The sequence below is a fragment of the Homo sapiens genome, chromosome 11 (assembly GCF_000001405.40).
Source record: "Homo sapiens chromosome 11, GRCh38.p14 Primary Assembly".
Taxonomy (NCBI): Eukaryota; Metazoa; Chordata; class Mammalia; order Primates; family Hominidae; genus Homo; species Homo sapiens.
Window position 1 is genome coordinate 13089177 of NC_000011.10, and position 14051 is coordinate 13103227.

Sequence of the window (14051 nt, forward strand, 5' to 3'; positions counted from 1 at the left end):
TACACCATGGAATACTATGCAGCCATAAAAAAGGATGAGTTCATGTCCTTTGCAGGGACATGAATGAAGCTGGAAACCATCATTCTCAGCAAACTAACACAGGAACAGAAAATCAAATACCACATGTTCTCACTCATAAGTGGGAGTTGAACAATGAGAACGCATGGACACAGGGAGGGGGAACATCACACACAGGGGCCTGTCAGGGGGTTGGGGGATAGGGGAGGGATAGCATTAGGAGAAATACCTAATGTAAATGACGAGTTGATAGGTGTAGCAAACCAACATGGCACATGTATACCTATGTAACAAACCTGCACGTTGTGCACATGTACCCTAGAACTTAAAGTATAATAAAAAAATTTTTTTAAAGATGTATACTATAAGTCACATGTTTTAATTTTTCTAATCACTACATTTACAAAATAAGGAAAAGAAGATCAAAACAATTTTAATAATATTTAACCCATATATCCAAAATATTATCATTTCAACATGTAATCAATATAAAAAATGTTAATAGGACATTTCATTTTTTTTGTTCTAAGTCTTCAAAAAGCCAGTGTGTATTTTATATTAATACCACATCTGAGTTCAGACTATCCACAAGGAAAGTGCTCAGTAGCCAGATGTGACTAGAGCCTACCTTACTGGACAGCACAAATCTAAAACATGCTTTTCAAGTCCTATAGCTGTACTGTAATTTATTTAATTTATTTAACCCCATTGCTAGAACTTATCATTTTTACAAAATTTTGCCGTTATAAATAATAATGCAATGAAGATTCTTGTATTTACATCTGTGCATATTTTATGATTTCATTATTATACACTTTTTGGGATGGAATTGATTTATCAGGGTTATCAAAGTTATAAGCCTTAAAACTCTTAATGCTGCCAAATTGCTTTCTACAAACATTTTACCGATTTCCATTTGCACCAGCAGTATACAAGATTCCCACACTTCCACCAACAATGAGTGTCACCTCTATTAACACTGAGTGTACCCCAGAACTCCCAGTCTTCTACTGTTTCAACTTGCAATGTAACAGATAACCAAGGACCACTGCTGTGCCAGCTACCTTCTTCCTGTCCCTCCAGATCTACTCTCTGCCCTTCTCCTCCCTGCTCTGTACCCAGGAAGCTGGCAATTGTGGACTGCATCAATGGTCTTGCTTGCACCCCAGCTTCCTGTTGGGTAATGTCAGTGGAAAGTACTGGTGGGAGATGGAAGGAAGCAGGAAAAGTGAGGTCAGAATATTGATTTCGCTGGGTCCCTCCCTTCTGAATTGCTGTGGGTTGGTTACGTCCCCCTAAAAGAGGCCACAGCTCCTGTCACATAACTCTCCCTATGCAGCTACCTGCTGTGGCTTCCTGGAACTCCCTCCTCTTGCCCTTTCTGGCCTAAGGAAGATAAGGAGGCTTCTAGCAATTGCTAGCCCCAAGACTCTGCATTATCCATCCCTCATTGGTTTCTCTACACTTTCCTCACACCTTTGTACATACTCTCTTTATTAAACCCTCCTTGAATACTCAGTTGAAATTCATCATCAGTTTCCTGTGAGGACCATGAATGGCACAGCCAGACAGACATTAAATAACCTGACATTAAAAAGAAAGGCCAAGATTGACCAATAAACTTACTTCAAAGGAAACACGTACTTTAGAACAGAAGAAAACTTGCTATAAAAAGAAAATTCTAATTCTAATTAATATCTTCAAAAAATATTGAGACAATGTTATAGCCATAAAATAATTATTTTAAGAGTAACATTATGAAAACAACAACCAGAAAGAAAGATTTTGGAAATGAAAACAAAATTAATTGCCAAAACAAAAAAAAAGTTAGGGTTAGACGATAAAGTCCAGAAAATATTTTAAAATGTGAGAGCTATTAAAATTATCACAAATATGAATGAAAACAGAAGAAATATAAAGAATTGACACAAATGATCCAGTGTCCAACCAGTGGGAGTCCTCAAAAGAGAACAGAACAAAAAAAAACAAGGGAGAGGGAATTAATAAGGAAATAGTACAAGGAAATTTTCCATAGTAGAAGGAAGACATGAGACTTAGAATTTGAAGGCCCTGGAAGCTCTGAACAAGACAAAAACTAAAAATCCACACCTAGAAACATTAAAAAAAAAAAAAAACTTCTAAAGAAATGAAACAGCCACAGACAAAGGAATAAAAGTCAGGCCAACATAAGACTTCCCATCAGCAACAATGGATGCTAGAAGATCCTGTCCTCTAGCAAGCCATCATCTACTCTGCAACCAGAGTCACCTTCCTTGAATTCAAATATCACCAAGCTACTTTCTTGCTTACAAATTTGCAATGGTTCTCTTTGGCATTAAGCTGAATTTGGAGTCTTCAGTTAGCTCATGTGACTCTCTATAATCTGCCCAGACCAGCCTCTCCTGCCTATTCCTGCCTCTTCAGCCTTTGCTCCACCTTGATGGGGCTCCTTGTGGTTTCCTGGACACATCATGCTGTTTCATGCCTTGCTGTATTTGCAAATACTGCTTTCTCCTCCCAGTAAGCTCATTCTTCTATTTTACCTAACAAATTCTCATGTTCTTCAAAACTCAGCTAGAGTAGCAGCTTTTCTGTGAAGTTTTCCTTGCTTTGATCCCTGCCCTAGGTGAAGCCCACAGCTGCCATTTGCCTGAGAAGAGAATTTGGGCAGAAAGCAAAACCTTTTTCAGTGACTTTCATGTGCCAAGAATTGTGCTGGGGACACAGAGTTTACATAGTTTCTCTTAAAGCTTACAGTTTTGTAGGTGAACCGGAAAAGCAAAACAAACAATTACATCAGTGTGGAGTTGTTGCAATAAATATTTGGTGCTAATGGAATACAGAAGTGGAAGCCTGGGTAAGTGAGAAAAAGCATGACAGGAAGGATTAGGGTTGAGTTCACTTTGAAGTAGGCTTTGGTAAATTTGCATTAGAAGGAAACTGGATAAGTTGGAAATGATAGAAAAGTTAAGACTCCCCTACAGCCAACTACATTAAATGCCTGGCATTTTGTCACCACTTCTTCCTTTCATGCCGATGCATCTCTCTCAAATGAGTGACACTGAGCCCAAACTCTGACTCAGGACTGATCTTCATACAGATGTGCCAGACATTGACCATTGACTGATCACAGTTTCTTCACTAGATAAACGCCACCAACATCCTTTATCAGATTTGCATTTGAAAATGGGTCTCTGGCAGAAGGGTCGAGTCCCTAAAGCCATAGGCCTACAGCTAGCCTCAGTCTCCAAACACTACTTTAGACATTGGAATGTAAATGATAAAGAGCTGCCACTGCTAGGCATTGCAGTTAGATAGTCACTGTAGAAAGAACCCGAGCCATGGTGGCCTGGTGTGCATTGCCCCATTCCTGTATCATGCGTCTTCACTGGTTGATAGCCTCAACCAGAGGCTATCATGAGACTCTCGTGTCATCTTTGTGCCAGGTGTGGATTTTATTTTTCTTTTTTCTTTTCTTTTTTTTTTTTTTTTTTTTTTTTTTTTTGAGACGGAGTCTCGCTCTGTCGCCCAGGCTGGAGTGCAGTGGCGCGATCTCAGCTCACTGCAAGCTCCGCCTCCCGGGTTCACGCCATTCTTCCGCCTCAGCCTCCCGAGTAACTGGGACTATAGGCGCCCGCCACCACGCCTGGCTAATTTTTTTGTATTTTTTTAGTAGAGACGGGGTTTCACCGTGTTAGCCAGGATGGTCTCAATCTCCTGACCTAGTGATCCGCCCGCCTTGCCCCCACAAAGTGCTGGGATTACAGGCGTGAGCCATCGCGCCCGGCCAGATTTATTTTTCTTATTTAGGATCAAGGAAGATCCTTATTATTCATTTTCCAGGTGACTTGGGCTGACCTTTCATAGTCAAGACAAGTCAAGGATGTAATATAGTGAGACTATTATAAAGGAACCTCAACTTAAATACCAGTGGCCAATGCAAATATAAATAAGCTGTGAGTTTTTACCCATTTTTATGGCAAAGATTTTAGCAATAAAAGAGATGACAAGGATGTAGTGAAACAGGACTCGCTGGTGGGAATGTACATTGGTATAGCCATCTTGGAGAGTAAATCTATAATGAAATCTTTATTGAATAAGCTAGACTCAAGAAGGTACAAGCGGAGATTATCTTTTATTCTTCCCCACGGTTCCTGTTGAACCTGCTTTACCAAACAGTCATTTTTCTGCTCACAGAAGCTTCAAACACAATGGAATACCAATACAAAACCCAATGCTGTTGGCTGAAATGTATTCCCCCAAAATTCATATGTCAAAACCTAATTCTCAGTGTGATGGCATTTGCAGGTGAGTCCTTTGAGAGGTGGAACCCTCATGGATGGGATTAGTGCCCTTCTAAAAGAGGACTCAGAGACCCTTTTTCCCCCTTCTGCTATTTGAGGAACAGTGAGAAGACAGCCGTCTATGACCCAGGAAGTGAGCCCTTGCCAAACACTAAATCTACCAGAGCCTTGATCTTGGACTTTCCAGCCTCCACAACTGGGAGAAATAAATTTTTATTGTGTAAGCAAACTAGTCTGTGATATTTTGTTATGGCAGCTAAAGCAGACCAATATAACTAATAAAAAATGTGTATGGCCTAATAAGAAGAAAATGATTAATTTTTCAGAGAGAGATAAAAATGACCCAAATAACCCTGGATTGGGAGGTTTGGTATTGTGAAGATGGGGATTCTCTTCTAAAATAATAGATATTTAATAGAATCCTACTTAAAGTTACAAAGGAGTATTCCTTTACCTTGACCAGCTGATTCAATAATTTCTCAAGAGAAGTTATGTTGGAATAACAAATATTTTTTGGACAAGAAAACAAAAAAAAAATACTAATGTGGGTGGGCTAACTGTAATCCTAACTCTGACCCTGACCCTGACCCTGACCCTGACCCTGTGTGCCTATGTGTATATGTGCATGTGTGTATATATATTGAAGGTGGCATTTAATGGTATTTAAGTAATGAGATATTCATCAAGCAAATAAAGTTAGATCCTTACCTAGCACCATACACAAATAAATAATTTCAGGCAAATAGATATTAAAAATTTAACAAAGTATTTGTGGTGATCACTGTTTTTTTGTTTTGTTTTGTTTGAGACACGGTCTTGGTCTGTTATAGTCATGGCTCACTGCAGCCTCAACCTCCCAGGCTCAAGTGATCCTCCTGCAGCCTCCCACGTAACTGGTACTACAGGTGTGTGCCACCCCACCCAGCTAACGTTTTTGTTTTTGTTTTTTGGTAGAGCTGAGGTCTTACTATGTTGTTCAGGCTGGTCTTGAATTCCTGGGCTCAAGTGATCCTCCTGCCTCAGCCCCCTAAAGTGCTGGAATTAAAGGCATGAGTCACTACACCCAACTGATCACTGTTTTATTCTCCCTCCTTCCTCTGACATCAATTTATCCCAAAGGATTAATCTAAGGCAACCAGGGTAATCACATTTCCCAGGGAAGGAATTGGGCAAAGACAAGAGAAATTTCTTGAGCTTTGGAAAAAGATTTCCTTGTTTCTAAGAAGGAGGTAGAGGAAAATACAGTGCTTTTTTTCCCTCTGGATTTGCTGTGAAGTCTGCATATGAATTCTGCACCTGCTGATATATAAATGATAGGACACTAAAAAGATAAACACCAAAATGTTAGCAGTGCTTGCCTTTAGTACTATTTAATTCTACATCATTTGAACTTTTTACAATGAGAATGTATTCATTAACTAGTTGTGTCAACATTTTTAAAATTGTAATTATGCTATTTAATCTTTATTTCCTTAAATCCTGCTTGCTTTCTTGTTCTAAATATTTGCCTGACATATCACTGTCCCATCCTTTTATTTTCGACCTTTCAGCATCATTTTAAGTTATCCTTAGTACACAGTCATTGGATTACTTTGTTGTTTTTACTCCAACTGAGAGTCTGCCCGTTATGAAAGGGAGTTTAAAAGTGTTGACATTTGTTGATAAAACTGTTACACCTGGTGTTGCTTTAGTCATCTTATTTTATGACTTACGTTTTCTTTGTTTGCTATTTTGTCTCTTGCTGTATGTATGGTATTTTGTTTGCTTTTATCTTCTACAGTTATTTGGAAACTAGACTTCCTGCTTTAAATTCTATGAGTAGTGACTAAATTATAAACTAATTCTTTTAAAATATATCAGCCAGGATTCAGTCAGGAAAATGATGGTCCAGGTGTTCCAGGAATGAAAGGTTTAATTCAGGAACTAGGGGCTGGCACACACTTTGGACAATCAGGTATGCTAAGGTCAGCAAATCCACCATCAAGATCTGGGCCAGAAGGTCTGAAGCACGTGGTTCTCGGGACTCACTGGAAAGCCAGTGTGAAACTGCAGACTCCCCATTGCTCTCAGGAGGAAAACGACTTCTCCTTCCAGACTTCTCAAGAGTGTCTCCCCAGGGCAGAAGCTACCCCAGCACCATATAGGGAAGGTAGTTCTAGGAAAGGTTGTCCCAGGCTACTCTTCAGCAATGCAGAATGTTAGCAAGTTGACAAGAGAAAAATAGAAGAGCATACTTATCATTTTATTAAAAAATAAATGCTAATTTTTCTCCTCTTTACATGGAATGAGGAGTCAAATGTTCTTGCTTCCTCAGCTATCATTATTTCTAGTAATTTTTAACTGAACAAATTAAAATGTAATTATCCTTTTCAGTTTATTTTTTATTTTATTTTTAGAAACAGGGTCTCGCTCCGTTTCCCAGGCTAAAGTGCAATGGCACGATTAAGGCTAACTGCAGCCTCAACTTCCTGATCTCAGGTGATCCTCTCATCTCAGCCTCCAGGGCAGCTGAGACTATAAGCATGTGCCACCACAGTTGGGTAATTTTGGTATGTTTTGTAGAGATGGGGTTTCACCATGTTACCAAAGCTGGTCTCGAATTCCTGGGCTCAAGTGTTCCACGTTCCTCAGCCTTCAAAAGTGCTGGGATTATAGGCACACAGGCCTCAGTCTATTTTTATATCAAGGCCCTATAAACACATTGATAATAATTGTCTGTGTGAATAACTGGTTTTAGTATTAGTTTTCAGTTCTTTTCTTCTACTTGTCTTAACATCTTACCTTGGGCTCATTTCATGATGTTCTGGTAAGCATCTGGAAGAGTAAATGAGACATACATTTTCTTAGTTCTTGCATTTTTAAGAATATCTTTCCATTTTTATGTCACATAAATTAATAATTTTCCTGATTTTATAGGTAAGGACTTCATGTCTATAGATCTCTGTGGACCTTTCTTATTACCTTTTAACACTCATTATTGTGAAAGGAAGGTCTAAAAAATGCCAACTTTTTGTTTTTGTTTTGTCAATTGCCTCTTTACTTTTTTAAGATTAGATAATTCTTTATGTTGAAAAGGACTTTTGAAGCTGTTGATTATTTTGGATAAAATGCATTGAATACATACTCAATTAGGTTGATTTTGCTTGTAAGGTCAAGATTATTTTCATTTATTATTGTTTTAGCTTCCCTTCCTCACTAGTACTAATAAGATAGATCCTGGGCTCTCTTTTCCATATTAGCTATTTCTAATCTTTTATTTATATTTTTATTCTGTTTCTGTTATAATTTTTCTAATTTATTCTTTCATTAGGGCTGGGCATGGTGGTTCATGCCTATAATCCCAGTACTTTGGGAGGCCAAGGTGAGAAGATTGCTTGAGGCTTGGAATTTGAGACCAGCCTAGGTAACATAGCAAGGCCCTGCCTCTACGAAAAAAAATAAATAAATAAAAATAGCCAAGTGAGGTGGTATGTGCCTGTATTTCCAGCTACTCTGGAGGCTGAGGCAGAAGGATCACTTAAGCCCAGGAGTTTGAGGATACAGTGAGCTATGATCATGCCACTGCACTCCAGCCTAGGCAATAGAGTAAGACTTGTCTCTAAAAAAATTTTTTTTAAATCCTATTATTAATATACTTTTTCTACAGTGTTATATTTGTTAATTTTCTACACCAAAAATGGCTGCCAATGTGCACTACATTTTAAGTCTTATAAAGTCACTTTTAATAATAAGACACTAATTTAGCTAGTTGTATTTTTAATAAGCCTTGTTCCTAGTTAGTAGGATAATTTCAGTAATATCTTACTGAAAACACTAGGCAAATAGTTTCCCAAAACATTTTTATTTTATACAAAAAAAATCTGCTTCAGAAGGAGAAAAAAATCTACATTTTACTCCAGAATATTCTCCCCTTTTTCTCCTTCTCTTGAATTAAAGCTTATTTTCATAGGCCTGTGTTAATTCTTTTCTCTTTGGGCATCTTTTTAGATGAGTTATATTCAGGCCAGGGCTGGAGACATGAATGTAATTCACCCAGTTCCAGTTTGGAAAGGGAGAGGACAGTAGATTTTTTTATTCACTGAATGACCAGGCTCCATATTGTAAGACCTATATTTATACATTTGACTTACTTTGAAGATTCTTGGACTCTGTTAAAGATGGATGCTTCGAAGAAAGACTCTCCATGAAGCACCTAATCCATTAAATGCCCACAAATCGAATGGTAAGTTCTGTCCTTGAGTAGAAATTAAAATACCTTGAGTGACTAGAGCTAGAAATCCACCATATACCGCAGTGAGAAATTATGAAAAAGCTCAATGCTGACTGCCATCTCTCAAGAGGCTAGATGTCAGTTCTGACCCATTGTTAAGGACATTACTTCATTTTCTTCAGAATCTTGAGAACGCACAAATCTTGCTTATATATAACAAGGATGCGGTGGGGTAGTATAGTGTCTAAATTCTTGGGTCAAATGTGAAAAAGATGTGATTCCCTTGGAAGCAATGTATGACCACTTATTCATGCTCCTAGAAATATGAAAAACAGGCAGAAAGGATTGAAAACAAAAGTGGAATCATTTCCAGGCAGAGACTGAGCCAAGAAAGGGGCCCAGGTCCTCTCCTTTACCCAGAGTACCCTTCAGCTTTGGCATCCCGTCCCTTGAATCACAGTCATTGTCTGGCTCTAATGCAAACACTGGCTCCATTGTGATTCTGCAGGGGCACAGCCCCACATGCACTGCTTTCTACCCGCCTGGGGCTTCTTGAGCTTATCCCATTGAGCTGTGACTCAGGCAGTCAGCCAGAAGAGCCTCTATGTAGGGTGGTGCCTGGGGATCTGTGCTGATTGCACAACGGCTGCCAGGTAAATCCCTTTGCCATCCCATGGGAAATGTCAAATCAGGGGCAAAGTATGGGTGCTCTGTGTTTGAATCCAAGGATTTGGGTCAGAACAGATGGTAGTGGGAACTTTCATTCTTACCATCTGCCTCTGAGGATACTTGGATGGACCTCAGACTGCCTGGAAACTTCTAGAAAAATTCTAGGTTCCACAAGTCAAGTGTCAGAGGAATTCTCATGAAGTCTAGGGGATGGGGCAGAACAGTCTGAAATACATGAGGTTCACAGGTGGCTTCGTGCAATACTTCTCAGGCTTCCTGTATGTTAGACTTATCTACGGAGCCTATAAACATGCAGATCCCTGAGACACATTCCCTGGGATTCTAATTCATAGGTCCTGGAGTTGGGATTAGTAATCCACATTTTTATGAGCATTCCAAACTGATTCTAATGCAACAAGGTCATATAACAAACTCCACTTAGAAAAACACTGATTTATGAAGGTGTTGGCAAAGTAAGCACTTAAATCAATCTGTTATGGTAAGTATCTGGACCAAGAATGGGTTCCTCAGGAATTATAGGAGGATGACTATCAGCAACTTCCCCTGTTTGAGCACTGCCTTGTGCCTAAGCAGACTTCCTCAGCAACCAGGCTTCTGACAGCCTTTAATCATATGCATTCCTGTAGTTAGGTGAAGCTATCCTAGAGGTCAAGGATGGTAGCAAGTAAAGGGAGGAAACCTTCTTTCTGTTGGGGCCAGACTGATGAGCTCAGTGGGGAAATCCCAGTGATGGAGAGTGAAATAGAGCATTTCCATATCAACCAGTATGTCTGGCCACACCCCTCTAAGGGATACTACCACACGGGCAGCCCCCCATTTCCAGGTGGCCATATTGAGTACCATAAGAAGGTGCTTCCCTAACCACAACTGATTAGAGACCAAGGGTGGGTTGAACCCAAGGCAGCCAATTATCAATTATAGGATGTGAAGTGGCATGAAAAGACATTAATTAGGCCAATCAGATTACCACTGTTGGGAACCGGGAAATGTGGAGAATCCAAGCCAGTCATCAGCAGGTCAGATGTATCAAAAAGTCGTGTCATAACAAAAGAGGCTGGGGAAGCCATAGTGAAGTATGTATGCAGAGAGGATTCTGGTCAGCTGGAAGAAGAAAGTGGAGCAGATGCGCAGAGAGAAATAGAAAGTTAAGAAATTTTGAGAAATAAGAAAGATGGACTGGGCATGGTGGCTCGTTCCTGTAATATCAGCACTTTGGGAGACCGACACAGGAGGATCACTTGAGCCAAGGAGTTCAATACCAGTCTGGGCAACATAGTGAGACTTTGTCTCTACAAAAAAAATAAAAATAAAATTAGCCATGTATGGTGGCATGCACCTATGGTCCCAGCTACTTGGGAGGCTGAGGTGAGAGGACTGCTTCAGCTCGGGAAGTCGAGGCCGCAGTGAGTCGAGATCACACCATTACACTCTAGCCTGGGCAACAGAGGGAGACCTTGTCTCTTAACCGAAAAAAAATAAATAAATAAAAGAAAGAAAGAAAGAAAAGAAAGAAACCTGGTTAATAGCATCAGGTAAAAGCAGGTTATAAATGCTCTCTGGCTCAAGGAACACGTAGCCTTAATTTGAGCAAGCTTAAGAGGGCAATGAAATACCTGTCAACAATGAAATGGAAGCAATATTTAATGAGCCTTTATTGTATGCAAGGTACTTGAGGAGCATTTCATGTATTCTCTATCATTTTTGCTCACAATAGCACTAAAAATATGCATTATAGTGCCGCCTGCTGTACTTTATCATCTACTTTTCCTTACTGTAGAGGTAAGAAAAATTAATGGACTGTCTAGCACCTGTCCAAATGATAGTCACTTGTCACATGTGGCTATTAAGCACTTAAAATGTAGCTAGTGCAAATTGAGATGTGCTGTAAGTGTGTAACACACCAAATTTTGAAATAGAGTACAAAAATAAAAAAGAATGTAAAATATCTCATTAATGATTTTCAGTTGGTAACATGTTGAAATGATATATGTTGGATATAGTGGGTTGAATAAAATAAATATTAAAATTAATTTCACCTGTTTCTGTTTACTTAGTGAATGTAGCTACAAGAAAATTAAAAATTACATATGTGGGTCATATTTGTGACTCACATTATGTTTCTTCTGGACAGTGCTGGTCTAGTTTGTTGTTTTATGAAACCAGAAACAGTGACATATAAATAGAAGAAAAGTGTAAGCTTCCTTGATTAGGCCATATTCACCGCTAGTCCTCATATTGGAAAATAAATTCCATACATATTGAGCAAGTACATTGTGCTAGTGTCCAAAGATGGTGGCCATAATTCTTCTCCTCCCAATATAAGCATGCCCCTCCTCCCATCAAGAAACAGAGCCTATTTCCCCTTCTCTTGAATCTGGCCTGGCCTTGTAACCTGCTGTGACCAATAGAATGTGATGGAGGTAATGGTTATGCCAGTTTTGAGTGTAGCCTTTAAGAGGCCTGGTAGCTCCTACTTTTGCTCTTGGATAATCCGCATGCTGGAAAGAAGCTTTGGCTAGACTCCTGAATGGAAAGAAAGGCCAAGTAGAGGAGTGCTTAAATGCTAGACATGAGTGAGGTCTTCAAGACCCTTCCAGCATAGCCAAAGTGGCCTGCAACACAGCGTAACCAGTGACCCAGCAGATGTCACGTAGAACAGACAAACTGCTGTGCCAAACACAGCCAAAAGGTAGAACCATGAGAAACAATAAACTGTTTCAAAGCCACTAAGTTTCAGGGTGGTTTGTTACACAGCAATAAATAATTAAAGTGTGCCTTCTGCGTGCAAAACTCTGTGATAGACAGACCCTGGGAGTGACAACATAACCAAGAATGCTTCCTGCCCTCAGTTTGCTTAGAATCTCAAGGGAGACATCAGGCACATATTAAAAATAACTGTAAGCCGGGCGCGGTGGCTCACGCCTGTAATCCCAGCACTTTGGGAGGCCGAGGCGGGCGGATCACGAGGTCAGGAGATCGAGACCATCCCGGCTAAAACGGTGAAACCCCGTCTCTACTAAAAATACAAAAAAATTAGCCGGGCGTAGTGGCGGGCGCCTGTAGTCCCAGCTACTTGGAAGGCTGAGGCAGGAGAATGGCGTGAACCCGGGAGGCGGAGCTTGCAGTGAGCCGAGATCCCGCCACTGCACTCCAGCCTGGGCGACAGAGCGAGACTCCGTCTCAAAAATAAAAAATAAAAATAAAAAAAAAAAGAATAAAAATAACTGTAGCATGGGATGGGGTAGGTGTTTTAAGTTTAATATTGCAGTGGTTGTTTGGCCTCACACAGGATTTCATACTTTCTTGGGCCCTGGCTTGCTTTCTAGGCTCTCTTTGCTGACTTACAGCAGGTCCCAGGGACTCAGACTTGGCCTTTTCAGCAGTTGCTTCCACTTATTGGATACCTTACGGCCCTTTTCTTCCCCATGTGAGCCTGGTGAGGAGGGAGGCAGCAATCTCTCCTGGCTCTCCATAAGGACAGATTCACGAGTCTAACTGCTGCTTCCAATAGAAGCACAGGCAGAGAGAAAAAGAGTTACAAATACGGGGACGTAGCACAAATGCTGGACTCTGTAAGACTCAATAAGTAAAACTATGTAAGGTTTTTATTTTCTACTGGGCCAGACTTCCTGACCTCTCCCAGAATGTAGAGAATAGATTCTGTAGGGCTTTTAACCTCCACTGTTATTCCAAGGATGGGGCTCAGCTTCCTTCTTTTCCTTTCTGACTCTGTCTATATCAAGGGTCCCGTGGGTTGTTCCTTTCCATTGTGGTCTCACTGCCCAGCTTTAAGGCACCATCCTGGCACAGTGATAGGTTTACCTTTGTCTAAAAGTGTCCATTTGCATCTCTGTGGCCTTCTTGCCTGGGTGACACCCACTTGATTAGGCATTTGCCCAGTGTGAGATCAGAGTCCCTCATTTACATTTCCCCACAATAGTGAATGGCTTACAGGCTGTTCAAATACAGTTTCTAAACAGTGAATAATTCAGCCAGAAAGCCAGCCTTTTAAGGTTTGGATTTGGGGCATTTCTGAGAGCTCTAAACCCTTTGCATTGACACTGTGGACTACCACTGAAAGTAGAACCAGAGCAAGAAAACAGAGGAACTCAGCTGGGTTACTGCAGACCCTTCACTACTTCCCATGCAGGGCTTCATCAATAACTCAGGGAGAAAGGCTCTCTAGTTAAAACCAAACCCACAAAGAAGAGTCACTGTTTAGATTCTAAATAGAGTGCATGCAAGAGACAAAAATCACATGTGGTCAAAATTATCCCTCAACATCATTTACAGACTGCAAATAGAGAAGACATTGTTGTGCATTTACAACCCTGGACAGTAATTCTTACGGCCATTGGAAGTGTAAGACCATCGAGTGATAAGCCAAAAACAAAAAAAACAAAAAAAAAAAACAAAAACAAAAAAAAGGAAGAAAACTAAAGTCTACCGAAAGATGTCTGCTTTCAAAGTATTTTGCCTCTGAGATAACTCCTAAATCCCCAGCCGTAGTTATTCTTATTCTTCACACATCTCTAGTAGGGAATGGGGACTGAGTAGAAAATAATAACAGCAGGCAATGCTCATAACAGCAGGCACTGTTCTAACTGCCTTATATTAGCTCGTGCAATCTTTACTACAATAGGAAACATTATCCCTATTTTACAGAAGAGTAAACTGAGGCATACAGAGCTGGTGGAAATTATCTGAGGTTTCTCACTAGAATACTCAGTGAGACCGTGTTCAGGAGTGGGTGGCTGACAGGACTGACATCCTACAGGAATGGCATAAAGACTATTTTAAAATGAAGATATTTGAAATATGGAAGATGC

General features: G+C 40.2%; 1 annotated feature.

Annotated features, from left to right (window-relative positions):
- Positions 12690-13648: an enhancer, noted in NCBI's record as "NANOG-H3K4me1 hESC enhancer chr11:13123413-13124371 (GRCh37/hg19 assembly coordinates)". NCBI's record gives its function as "activates a minimal SCP1, AML or CMV promoter by ChIP-STARR-seq in primed H9 embryonic stem cells {active_cell/tissue: H9 hESC(primed)}" and the evidence as "EXISTENCE:reporter gene assay evidence [ECO:0000049][PMID:30033119]".